Source organism: Homo sapiens, chromosome 7 (genome assembly GCF_000001405.40).
Source record: "Homo sapiens chromosome 7, GRCh38.p14 Primary Assembly".
Taxonomy (NCBI): Eukaryota; Metazoa; Chordata; class Mammalia; order Primates; family Hominidae; genus Homo; species Homo sapiens.
Window position 1 is genome coordinate 63,979,526 of NC_000007.14, and position 12,337 is coordinate 63,991,862.

Consider the following 12,337-nt stretch of genomic DNA (forward strand, 5'->3'; position numbering starts at 1 on the left):
TATGTGTATGTGTGTGTGTATATATATACATATTTGACACAGTCCCAGTAAGCTAAATACAAAATAAGAGAAAACTGTAAAATAACACTTATTTAAAAATAAAGTTAAAATTGAGAGTTTAATATATGCTCAGCAATGTTTTAAGCTCTTCAGTGACATAGTATATTTGATAAATGTGTGGAGTAAATATATCAAACTTATTACAATTGAGGAATTTGGGTATACGGACTTTAATTTATCAATATTAGTTTACATAAAAAGAATAATATTTTGAATTAATGTAATTTTAGAGTTTCTTATATTTAGGGAGATGGTTAGTGTTTTGATAAAATTACTGAGTATAAATTCCTATAAAATTCCGTTTGAAACCACTGTAGAATAAAAAAATATAAAGCAGAAAACATATATCTTTTTGTGGTGTTCCTGGGATTTCTGAACCAAATCCCAATATCACCAAAACTCTCATGTAATTTAGACATTATCCAAAAAAAGAACCTTAAGAATGGTTTAACATACAGTTTCTCAAAAATACAGATATTACTGTTTCTCCCAAAGCAATGGAAGCCCATCAGATCACACATTCTTAAGTTATCATTAAAACTTTTATTATCACTGTAAACTCAAAGGAAAAAATAAACCTTACTGAAGGGGAAGTACAGCACTTAAAAAATTTATGAGAATTGGACAAAAGATGCCTCTATGTCAAAACAAGAGAAAAAATGCAGGGTTCTAGAAACTGCTTTCACTGGAGGAGAGCTATTCAAACCGTGTGTAAAAGTCTGGCTTCCTCCTTGACATTGGGAACTCTCATTTGTGTCATTTCCTTCATTCACTCCCACCTACCTGGGTATTTGACTACTGTCTTCTGTCTCTTCACATTCCAGGGCTCTTTGCTCCAGAAGGGTAATCAAGTCTGGCTTGGAAATAACAAGACCTGTTTTATTAGAAAAGAATAACATGATTCTTGCTAGGATACTCCAATTACCAATCTAGTAATGTGCTCATTAGAGAAGAGAAAACATTATAGAGATTCTAGAAAATTAATACCAATATACTATTTCCTAACAGGAACTTTAGAATATTAAGAAAAAATTTTGGCCAGGCACGGTGGCTCATGCCTGTAATCCCAGCACTTTGGGAGGCCGAGGTGAGTGAATCACTTGAGGCCAGGAGTTCAAGACCAGCCTGGTGAACATGGTGAGAGCCCATCTCTACTAAAAATACAAAATATATATGTGTGTATATATATATGTGTGTGTGTGTGTGTGTGTGTGTGTGTGTATGTGTGTGTGTATTAACTGGGCCTGGTGGCACAAGCCTCTAATCCCAGCTACTCGGGAGGCTGAGACAGGAGAATTGCTTGAACCCAGGAGGCAGAGGTTGCAATGAGCTGAGATCATGCCATTGCACTCCAGCCTGGGTGACAGAGTGAGACTTCGTCTCAAAACAAACAAAACAAAACAAAACAAATTTTTTTTAGTATGTGGGTTCTTAGCTCTACTACTCAGTAATACTAAATGAAAAATTGGTGGTAAAAATTGGATTTTAAAGTGTGGGTAACAATATTTTATGCCACTAAATTTCTTGTATTACCAGTAATTTAGACTGAAGTATACAGATCAGCTCAAAAAAGGGAAAGATTAATGTTAACATGAAACATCTTGAACATTTTTTTCTACCTCAACAGATACCCAACTTTTTTTGTTTTTGCTTTTTTGAAGATGAATTCTGAAACTCATTTGTGCAAAGCAGAAACTCCCAGAAAATGGAAGAAAATAAAATATTTAGTGTGGAATGTGAATTGTATATTGAAGATATCCTCACCCAGAGACACCAGGTTTCCATAGTTCTCTAACATCGCATCCCTGTGCAAATGCTGCTGAGCAGAGTCCAGGCACTCCCACTCTTCTGGGGAGAATTCTATGGCCACATCCCTGAATGGCAACACTCCCTGAAAAACAAAACATATTTAGCAAATGGTCATAGGAAGAATTCTCAATTTTACATTAGGTAAACAGAGAGCAAAGAGAACTGGTTCTGACTTATGTGAGTGACTGGAGTTATCCAATAAGATGCTTTCCAGCAGAAAAATATTCTCTACTGTATTCTTTAACTCTGAGAAAAGAAGATGGCATAAGATCTACAAAACCAGTGTAGATGCATTACTTTTCTTGATAATAAAATATACAATAAAGGGCACAAACACAGACATGTATATTTTTGAATGCTATATTTACATGATACAAGATAAGTTGTCCATAGCTAATAAACGGAAATTTCATGGTGAGTTAGAAACGTACTGCTCGAATCTTAATTGTGTACAATGATGAACAAGAGATCTTGTTAAAATGTAGACTTTGACTCTGGATTTAGGGTGAAACTTGAGTTTCAGAATTTCTAACAAGTTTGCCAGTGGTGTTATTGCTTCTGGCCCAAGGGGAATATTTTGTCAGAAATCTAGTAAGTGGCACAGCCTAGGTTTTCAGTTTATTTAACCAGTAAAGAGGTTCAGAAACAATAAACTCTTACATAGAAAAACCAAAATGTGAGTTTCCGCTTTCCAACACTCAGGTGCCCTCCTCTGTCAGGGATGGCAGCAATTTCTGCTGCAGCAATAGGAATATGGGCCACCCTCACCTGCCCATACCAAATCCATGCATAGCAGTCCCTATGATCTCTGTTTTAAACTAAAGCTAAGTGCACCTCTTTCAAATGTATCTGGAAGCACTCATGATTGACCCTGGGGTCACCTTTGCCCCACATGTGGCACTTAATTAAAATAACATGGCTGCAGGAGGGAAGTGGGGCAAGGGGACTAAATAGAACCCTCTAACAATCAATCATGTCCCTGATGGAACACCAAATTTAATGGCTATCCAAATAAGAAGCATCTTCATAAGAACCAAAATTCAGGGGAGTGACCACAATATCTGGTTTTAAAAGCACATCAAAGAAAAAGCACTGAAGATGATAAAAAAAGAAAGTCTTGAATTGCCAACAGCACCTCTCCTCCATTCCCTGGTAGAGCAGCTTGGCAAGAAGAGCAAACCTGTGCACTTACAGGAGGGAGAGTGCAGTGATTGGGAGACTCTGCAGTAAAACTCAGTGCTGCTGGTCATAGCAGAAAGCAACACGGGGCAGAGTTCAGCCAGTGCCCCCAGAGGGAGCACTCAGACTAGCCCTAGTTGAGAGAAAGTGTCCATTTCAGTGGCCAAAACCTGAGTTTCAGGTAGCCCCACCACCATGGGCTAAAGCACTCTGGGGTTCTAAATAAACTTGAAAGGCAGTCTAAGCCACTGGGACTGCAACTCCTGGGCAAATCCTGGTGCTTTGCTAGGCTCAGAGTCAAAAAGCTTGAAGTGCATGTGGCCTTATGAGATGCCAACTGGGGTGACCCAAGGAAGTGCCTGCATTGCCCTTAGCCCAGCCACAGGCAATGCAACTCAAAGCTCTGGAAGAAACTCTTTTCTTCTACTTGTGGAGAGGGAAGAGGAGAGTAAAGAAGACTTTGTCTTGCAATTTGGATACCATCTAAGCCACAGTAGAATATGGCACCAGGAATGGTTTTAAGGCCCCCATTCCAAGACTTAACTCCTGGGTGACAGTTCTAGGCACACCCGGGGACAGAAGAGAACACACTGCCTTGCAGGGAAGGACTTAGTCCTGGCAGGATTCATCACCTGCTGACTAAAGAGCCCTTGGGCCTTGAATAAATGTTAGCAGTAATCAGGTAGTACTTGCTGCAGGCTTGGGTGAGACCCAGAGCTGTGCTGGCTTCAGGTATGACCCAGTGCAATTCAAGCTGTGGCAGCCATGTGGAGAGACTCCTTGCTTGAAGAAGAGAGAGGGAAGAGGAAAGGGGACTTTGTCTTGAAGCTTGGTTACCAACTCAGCCACAGTGGAGTAGAGTAACAAGAGGGCTCCTGAGGTCCATGGTTTTTGGCCTTGGCTCCTCAATGGCATTTCTGGAACCACCCTGGGCCAGAGAGGAGCCTACTGTTTTGAAGGAAGAGATGCAGGCCTGTCAGAATTCACCACAAGCTGACTGAAGGGCCCTTGGGTCCTCAGTAAATACCAGCAGAAGCCTGGAAGTACTTGCTGTGGGCTTTGGGTGGTGGTGGCCACAGGGAGTGGCTTCTTATGCTTGAGAAAGGAAAGGGAAGAGTAGGAAGGATGTTGTCTCCTGGCCTCAGTGCCAGCTAAGCCACAGTAAAATAGGGCACCAAGTAAATGCCTAAGGTTCCTGACTCCATGTTCTGGCTACCAGATGGCATTTTGTTATGCCCCAGCCCAGGGTGGGTAAGAAAGCTCACTGCCCTGAAGAAAAGGACATAAGCCTGGCAGGATTTACCACCTCCTGACTGAAGAGAACATGGGCCTTGAGTGAATATCAGTGGTAGCTAGTCAGTGGTCACTGTGGGCCTGTGTGAGACTCAGTCTTGTGCTGGCTTTGAGTTGCACCCAGTGCAGTCCTAGTGATGGTGGCGACAGGGCACTTGTGTCACCCCTACCCCAGCTCTGGGCAGCTCAGCATGAGAGAGACTCCATTTATTTGGTAGAATGTAAGGAAAGAGAAAAAGAGTCCCTGCCTGGTAATCCAGGAACTCTTTTAGATCTTACCTAAGACCACCAAGGTGGCACTTCTACAAGTCTGCAAGCCTTGCTGTGTTACTGGGGTTGGGGAGTCCCTTAATGCAGATATGACTGCAATGACTGAAGACTTAGATTACAACACTGTTTTGTTTGAATACTTAGAAAGCCCTTCTAAGAAGGACAGGTTAAAAAAAAAAGCCCAGAATGCAAAGACTAAAATAAATACCTGACTCATTAATGCCCAGACATCAATGAACATCCACAAAAATTAAGACTATCCAGAAAAACACAACCTCATTAAATGAACTAAATAAGGCACCAGTGTGCAATTCCTAGTGACAGAGACATGTAACCTTTCAGAGAGAGAATTCAAAATAGCTGTTTTGAGAAAGCTCAATAAAATTCAAGATAACACCAAAAAGAAATTCAGAATCTGATCTGGTAAATTTAACAAGTTAATTAAAATTATTTTGAAAAATCAAGACAAAATTCTGGTGCTGAAAAACTCAAATGACATTGAAGAATGCATCAGTCTCTTAACAGCAGAATTGATCAAGCAGGAGAATTAATGAGTTTGAACACAGACTATTTGAAAATATTCAGTCAGAGGAGACAAAAAATTAACAAACAATAAAACATGCTTATGAGATGTAGAAAATATCCTCAAGAGGGCAACTCTGAGTTATGATCTTAAAGAGGAGGGAGAGAGAGAGTTCAGGATAGAAAGTTTATTCAAAGGGATAATGAGAACTTCTCATACCTAGAGAAAGATATTAATATTCAAGTACAAGAAGGTTATAGAAATGAAGCACAATTAACTTAAATAAGACTACCTGAAGGCCTTTAATAATAGCCTCCCAAAGGGTAAAGATAAAGAGTCCTAAAAGCAGCAAGAGAAAAGAAACAGACAGCATTCAAACAGACAAACCAATGTTTGACCGCGGACTCTTCAGTGGAAACCTTAGAGGTCAGGAGATAGTGGCATGATATACTTAATGTGCTGAAGGAAAAGACTTTTATCTAGAATAATATATCCAGCAAAAATATCCTTCACACATGAAGGGGAAATAAAAACCTTTCTAGACACACACACACACACGGATTTTATTAACATCAGGCCTGTCCTACAAAAAATGCTAAAGGGAGTATTTTAATCTAAAGGAAAAAAACATTAATGAGCTACAAGCAAGCATCTGGTACAAAACTCACTGGTAATATTAAGTGCACAAACACAGAATTTCATAGCATTGCAAATGTGGTGTGTAAACTATTGCTATTTTGAAAAGACTGAAAGATTATTCTATAGTGACTTGTATAGTTATTAAAAAACAATAACTCTTTCTCTACCTCCTCTTTAAGGCCATAACTCTTACATTTCCATTTGAGGCTGTTGAAGTTATTAAAAATACTAACCATAGCAAGTTCAAGACACAGACAGTATAATAAGATATAAATAGAAACAAAAAGCCAGGCGCAGTGGCTCATGCCTGTAATCCCAGCACTTTGAGAGGCTAAGTAGGGCAAATCATCTGAGGTCTGGAGTCTGGGACCAGCCTGACCAACATGGTGAAACCCCATCTCTACTAAAAATACAAAATAAGCCTGGCGTGGTAGCACATGCCTGTAATCCCAGCTACTTGGAAGGCTGAGGCAGGAGAATTGCTTGAACCCCAGAGGCAGAGTTTGTGGTGAGCCAACATCATGCCATTGCACTCCAGCCTGGGCAACAAGAGTGAAACTCCATCTTAAAAAAAGAAAGAAAGAAAGAAAGAAACAACAAAGTTAAAAAGTGGAGGAATAAAGTTAAAGTGTATTTTTTATTTGTTTCCTCTTTTCTTTTTCGTTTGTTCTTTTTTACAATATGTTAAGTTGCCATTAGTTGAAATGGGTTATAAGATGTTATTTGCAAGCCTTGTGGTAACCTCAAATAAAAAAACCTGTAACAGACACAAACACATAAAAGCAAAAAATTAAAACATACCACTGGATAAAATCACCTTCACTAAATGGAAGACAGGATGAATGGGAGGGAGGGAGGGAGGAAAGAGCACAAAACAAGAAATCAGATAACAGAATGGCTGAAGTAAGCCTTCACTTATCAATAACAACATTGAATGTAAATAAATTAAACTCTCTAATCTAAAGACATAGATTGGCCAAATGGGTAAAAACAAGCAAACGAACAAACAAAACAACAAAACCCAACAATCTGCTGCCTGCAAGGCACACACTTTACACTTTACCTATAAAGACACACAGAGACTGAAATAATCTGATGGAAAAAGATAGTCCATGCAAATGGAAACCAAAAAAGAGTGGGAATAGCTATACTTATATCAAACAAAACAGATTTCAAGACAAAAACTATAAAAAGAGACAACAAAGGTCATTATATCATGATAAAGTGGTAAATTCAGCAAGAGGATATAACAGTTGTAAATATATATGCACCCAACCCTGGAGAACTCAGATATTGGAAGCAAATACTAGAGCTAAGGAGAGAGATCAACCTCAATACAATTATAACTGGAGCCTTCAACATCCCACTTTCAGCAGTGGACAGATGACCCAGATAGTAAAATCAACAAATAAACACTGGACTTAATCTGCACTATGGACCAAATAGATCTAATAGATATTTACAAAGCATTTCATCCAATAGCTATGGAATACAAATTCTATACCTCAGCACCTAAATTATTCTTAAGGATAGACCATATAGTAGGCCACAAAATAACTCTTAAAAGATTCCCTTCCAAAATGAAATCATATTATTTTCTCTGACTATAGTAGAATAAAACTAGAAATCAATAACAAAAGGAACTTTGAAAACTATACAAACACAGAGAAACTAAAATATGCTTCTGAATGACCAGCGGGCCAATAAAAAAATTGAGAAGAAAATTTGAAATTTATTTGAAACAAATGAAAATGGAAACACAACATACCAAAACTACAGATACTGTAAAAGCAGTACTAAGAGGAAAGTTCGTAGCAATAAGTGCCTACACAAAAAAGTTTTCAAATATGAAAATAAACTATTAATGTATCATAAAGAACTAGAAAAGCTAGAACAAACCAAACCCAAAATTAGGAGAACAGAAATAATAAGGATCAGAGCAGAAACAAGTGAAAATAAAACAAGAAATACAAAAGAAGAGCATAATGTAAAGTGAGTTTTTTTGAAAAGATAAGCAAAATTCATAGAACTTTAGCCAGGCTGTTTGGGATTCAGGGCCCCATGGTGTTTGAATTATCTTTAGGTCTGAAGATGCCAAGTGCATTGAAAGATGGAGCTGGAATGGCTGATTGCTCTTCTGTGAAGGTGTTTTTCTAGAAACCTGGTTGAACTGCTCCAGAAGGGACTGTATATCACAAACAGGCAGAGAAATATTCTGCCTGCAAATTACGGGGCAAGCCAAAGAGAGAAAAGCCTCTCTGAACTAAAGTATTGTGGGCACCTCATATGTTTATATCCCGTCTGGTAATTTTGTACAGTGTTTGAATAACATAATTAAAATCAAAATTATCTCCAACCTCAGAGACACTCAATAATAGCAGAAGAAAAAGAACATTGTTTTATTAAATAAATCAGAAGGTGATCTGCATCACAGCAAATCTGCCAAGATTGTTCTTAAATAGACTTAACAGCACAATTGTCATACATAGTTGATCCTAAATTCATTTGGTGATTGAGAAAGCCATCTGTATATTGGGCATATTCAATGAAATTTTAATTGGCTATATTCAGGAGAAAAATTAACTTTTTTTATCTTCATAGAAGAAGATAGTTTTACAACTTGAAGTCAAGTGTCTGCTGAAGGTAGGCACCTACTATCCAACAGAAACTGTGGCATAGGGTACTATCTTTTTTGCTGTTTACATTTCAAAGCAATGGTTTCCAGGTCCTAGAGAAAGGCATTTCTAAGTTAAAATGATTGACCAAGTCCTATTTAGCTATTAAAATGATTTACATATATTTCAAAGAGTCAGAGAAAGAATTTACATAGCAAAGTTTTCTAAGTTAAATCCTTTAAGAAAAAAAGAAGAACAAAATCTCTTCCTTTATTTTCAAGTTGAAGAATTAAGTCTGCTATTTCTAATTTCTATTTGCCTTTACAACAGCCAGGTCTAAGTCCATGACCCTGAACTCATGGACATCTGAATTCCAGTAGGTATTGGAAGCAGGCACCTGAGTCATGGTGTTACGTACAACGTGTGTGTATGAAAGAGGATTTAGTTAGAAAGTAAAGGCAGAGGCCGGGTGTGGTGGTTCAAGCCTGTAATCCCAGCACTTCTGGAGTCCAAGGCAGGTGGATCACCTGAGGTCAGGAGTTTGAGACCAGCCTGGCCTACATGGTGAAACCCAGTCTCTACTAAAAATTCAACAATTAGCCGGGTGTGGTGTTGGGTGCCTGTAGTCCCAGCTACTCAGGAGGCTGAGGCCGGAGAATCTCTTGAACCCGGGAGGCGGAGGTTACGTGAGCCGAGATGCGCCATTGCACTCCAGCCTGGGTGACAAGAGTGAAACTCCATCTCAAATTAAAAAATAAAAAAGAAAGTAAAAGCAGAAGACAGAAAAATGCTATGAAGGGCTGTCAATCTAAAATAATCAAAAGGCTCAAAATTCAGTTTTAGAGTTTATTCAAGTTAAAAGCAAGAAACAGTCATCCGGGAGACAAAGACTCCAGGTGTGGTGGCACATGCCTGTAGTCCCAGCTACTCATGAGGCTGAGGCAGGAGAATCACTTGAACCCAGAGGATGGAGGTTGCAGTGAGCCCAGATCACACCAGTGCACTCCAGCCTGGATGACAGGAAAGAAAGAAAGAAAAGAAAGGAAAGAAAGAAAGAAAGAAAGAAAGAAAGAAAGAAAGAAAGAAAGAAAGAAAGAAAGAAAGAAAGAAAGAAAGAGAGAGAGAGACAGAGAGAGAGGGAGGGAGGGAGACAGGGAGGAAGGGAAACTTAACAAAATTTTCCAAGTCCCCGTCTCATCTCTGTCACATTTGTTCACGTGATGACACCACTTGTAGCTATCCTAAGACCTCAGAGTGATTACAGGGAAGTCACTTCAATTTCTACCCCATATTTCAAACGTATCTGCTATATATTTTTTTCAATAGGCCTCATCTACCTCACTAAGAAAGACACCATTATCATGTTTAATCTGTCTCCACATCTGCCACAGTGCTGACTGCTTGATCTGATCCTCTGGACTATTGCATTACTACTTCAATTAAGTGATCAGAATGTGGTATTTAAAACCTATAAGTGGCCTCAAACTCTTCAGTAAAAAACAATTTATCATTGCATTGCAAAAATTCCAAACTATTCATCAGAACTGCAAAAAGTCTTGTGTGAGATTCCATGGGGTAAGGAGAGCAGTGAGAAAGCTGTAACCGTAAGACAAGAAAGTGGCTTTGATGCATATGTAGCTGGGGATAAAAATAAAGAGAGAATCTGGGCGCGGTGGCTCATGGCCTGTAATCCCAGCACTTTGGGAGGCCGAGGCGGGCAGTTCACGAGGTCAGGAGATCGAGACCATCCTGGCTAACATGGTGAAACCCCGTCTCTACTAAAAATACAAAACGAAATTAGCCAGGCGTGGTGGCGGGCACCTGTAGTCCCAGCTACGCTGGAGGCTTAGGCAGGAGAATGCGTGAACCCGGGAGGCGGAGCTTGCAGTGAGCCGAGATCACACCACTGCATTCCAGCCTGGACGACAGAGTGAGACTCCGTCTCAGAAAAAAAATAGATAAATAAATAAAATAAAAATAAATAAATAAATAAAGAGAGAGTGAGAAACTGGAGATAATTATAAAATAAAACAAGCAGAATTTTATTTTCTAAATTCAGTCATTCAGTTGAAGAGCAGGTGTCCTCTCCCCACATGCACAATCAATGCTATTTCTTCACTCTAAATGTTTCAGTCTCTTACCTGAAACATGTAATATTACTCTAATAGAAACAGTTTTCTCGGCTGGCCGGGCGCAGTGGCTCACGCCTGTAATCCCAGCACTTTGAGAAGCCGAGGCAGGCGGATCATGAGGTCAGGAGATCGAGACCATTCTGGCTAACACGGTGAAACCCCATCTCTACTAAAAATACAAAAAATTAGCCAGGCATGGTGGCACACGCCTGTAGTCCCAGCTACTCGTGAGGCTGAGGTAGAAGAATCGCTTGAACCCAGGAGATGGAGGTTGCAGTGAGCCCAGATAGCGCCACTGCACTCCAGCCTGGGTGACAGAGTGAGACTCCATCTCAAAAAAAAAAAAAAAAAATAGCTTTCTCTTAAATGTTGAGTATCTGCTTCACACCCAGCACTGTCCTCTGTATTTGTTTACTTTATATAAACATTAAAACAACTCCATAACTTATAAAACATCCTAAATTTCCACCGGAAAAAAAGTCAGCCTGGTAAAATTTTAAAATTGTATGATGTCACTTAAAATAAATAGAAGGAAAAATTAACTAAAGAAAATTTTGACTTAAATAGTTTTTTCTCCAATCAGTAAGGGAGAAAAATGGAATGCAATAGTGAAATAAAATGTAATATGCTCACTCACTGTAGAACTAAATCTTCAAATAAACTTCTGAGCAACATTAAATTTTATGAAATCGCCGGGTGTGGTGGCTGACGCCTGTAATCCCAGCACTTTGGAAGGCCAATGCGGGTGGATCACGAGGTCAGAAGATCGAGACCATCCTGGCTAACACGGTGAAATCCTATCTCTACTAAAAATACAAAAAATTAGCCGGGCGTGGTGGCGGGCACCTGTAGTCCCGGCTACTTGGGAGGCTGAGGCAGGAGAATGGCATGAACCCGGGAGACGGAGCTTGCAGTGAGCCGAGATGGCACTACTGCACTCCAACCTGGGTGACAGAGCAAGACTCCATCTCAAAAAAAAATAAAATAAAATAAAAAATAAATTTTATGAAAACATTCTTAAAATCCCTGAGCAGAAAATGTAAAAATATTTCACAAACTTTGGAACAAAAAAATTATATATTTGTTCTCATGTGAATAATATGCAAGTAAACAAAAAGTATACATAAACAAAACTATATATAAGAAAGATTCTGAACCCAGGAGACTTGAGATTTGGGAAAAATAAGTTCAGTGTGCAATAGAGAAACTAATTTTACTTTAAGCATTGTGAAGTTCCTGATTTGCTAGCAAATTGCGGATTTGACACCATTTTTTTGGTCCACTATTTTCTTTTCCATTTAAAGAAGTGTACACACACACACACACACACACACAGAAATTTGTTCCTCTATATTTCTCTTACACTTATAGTTTATTTTTAGCTTAATATATTTGTATATTGCATTCAATGTAAATCAAAACACAAAAACATCTTTATGTGTTCAGTTGGAAAAATATTCAGTAATTTTTTTTTTTTTTTGAGATGGAGTCTCACTCTGTCACCCAGACTGGAGTGCAGTGGCGCGATCTCGGCTCACTGCAACCTCTGCTACCCAAGTGCAAGCGATTCTCCTGCCTCAGCCTCCTGAGTAGCTGGGATTACAGGCGCACGCCACCACTCTCGGCTAATTTTTTGTATTTTTAGTAGAGATGGGGTTTCACCATCTTGGGCAGGCTGATCTTAAACTCCTGACCTCGTGATTCACCTGCCTCAGCCTCCCAAAGTGCTGGGATTACAGGCGTAATTTATAATCATTTAAATTTAATCATTTATAATGATTTGAAATTCAGAAACTATGGCTTCCAATTACATTCCT

At 39.1% G+C, this 12,337-nt stretch overlaps 1 pseudogene; it reads right to left on the reverse strand.

Moving 5' to 3' along the window:
* Positions 1-829: 829 nt before the first annotated feature.
* Positions 830-8,794, reverse strand: LOC107986731 (zinc finger protein 736-like; annotated as a pseudogene).
* Positions 8,795-12,337: the final 3,543 nt, after the last annotated feature.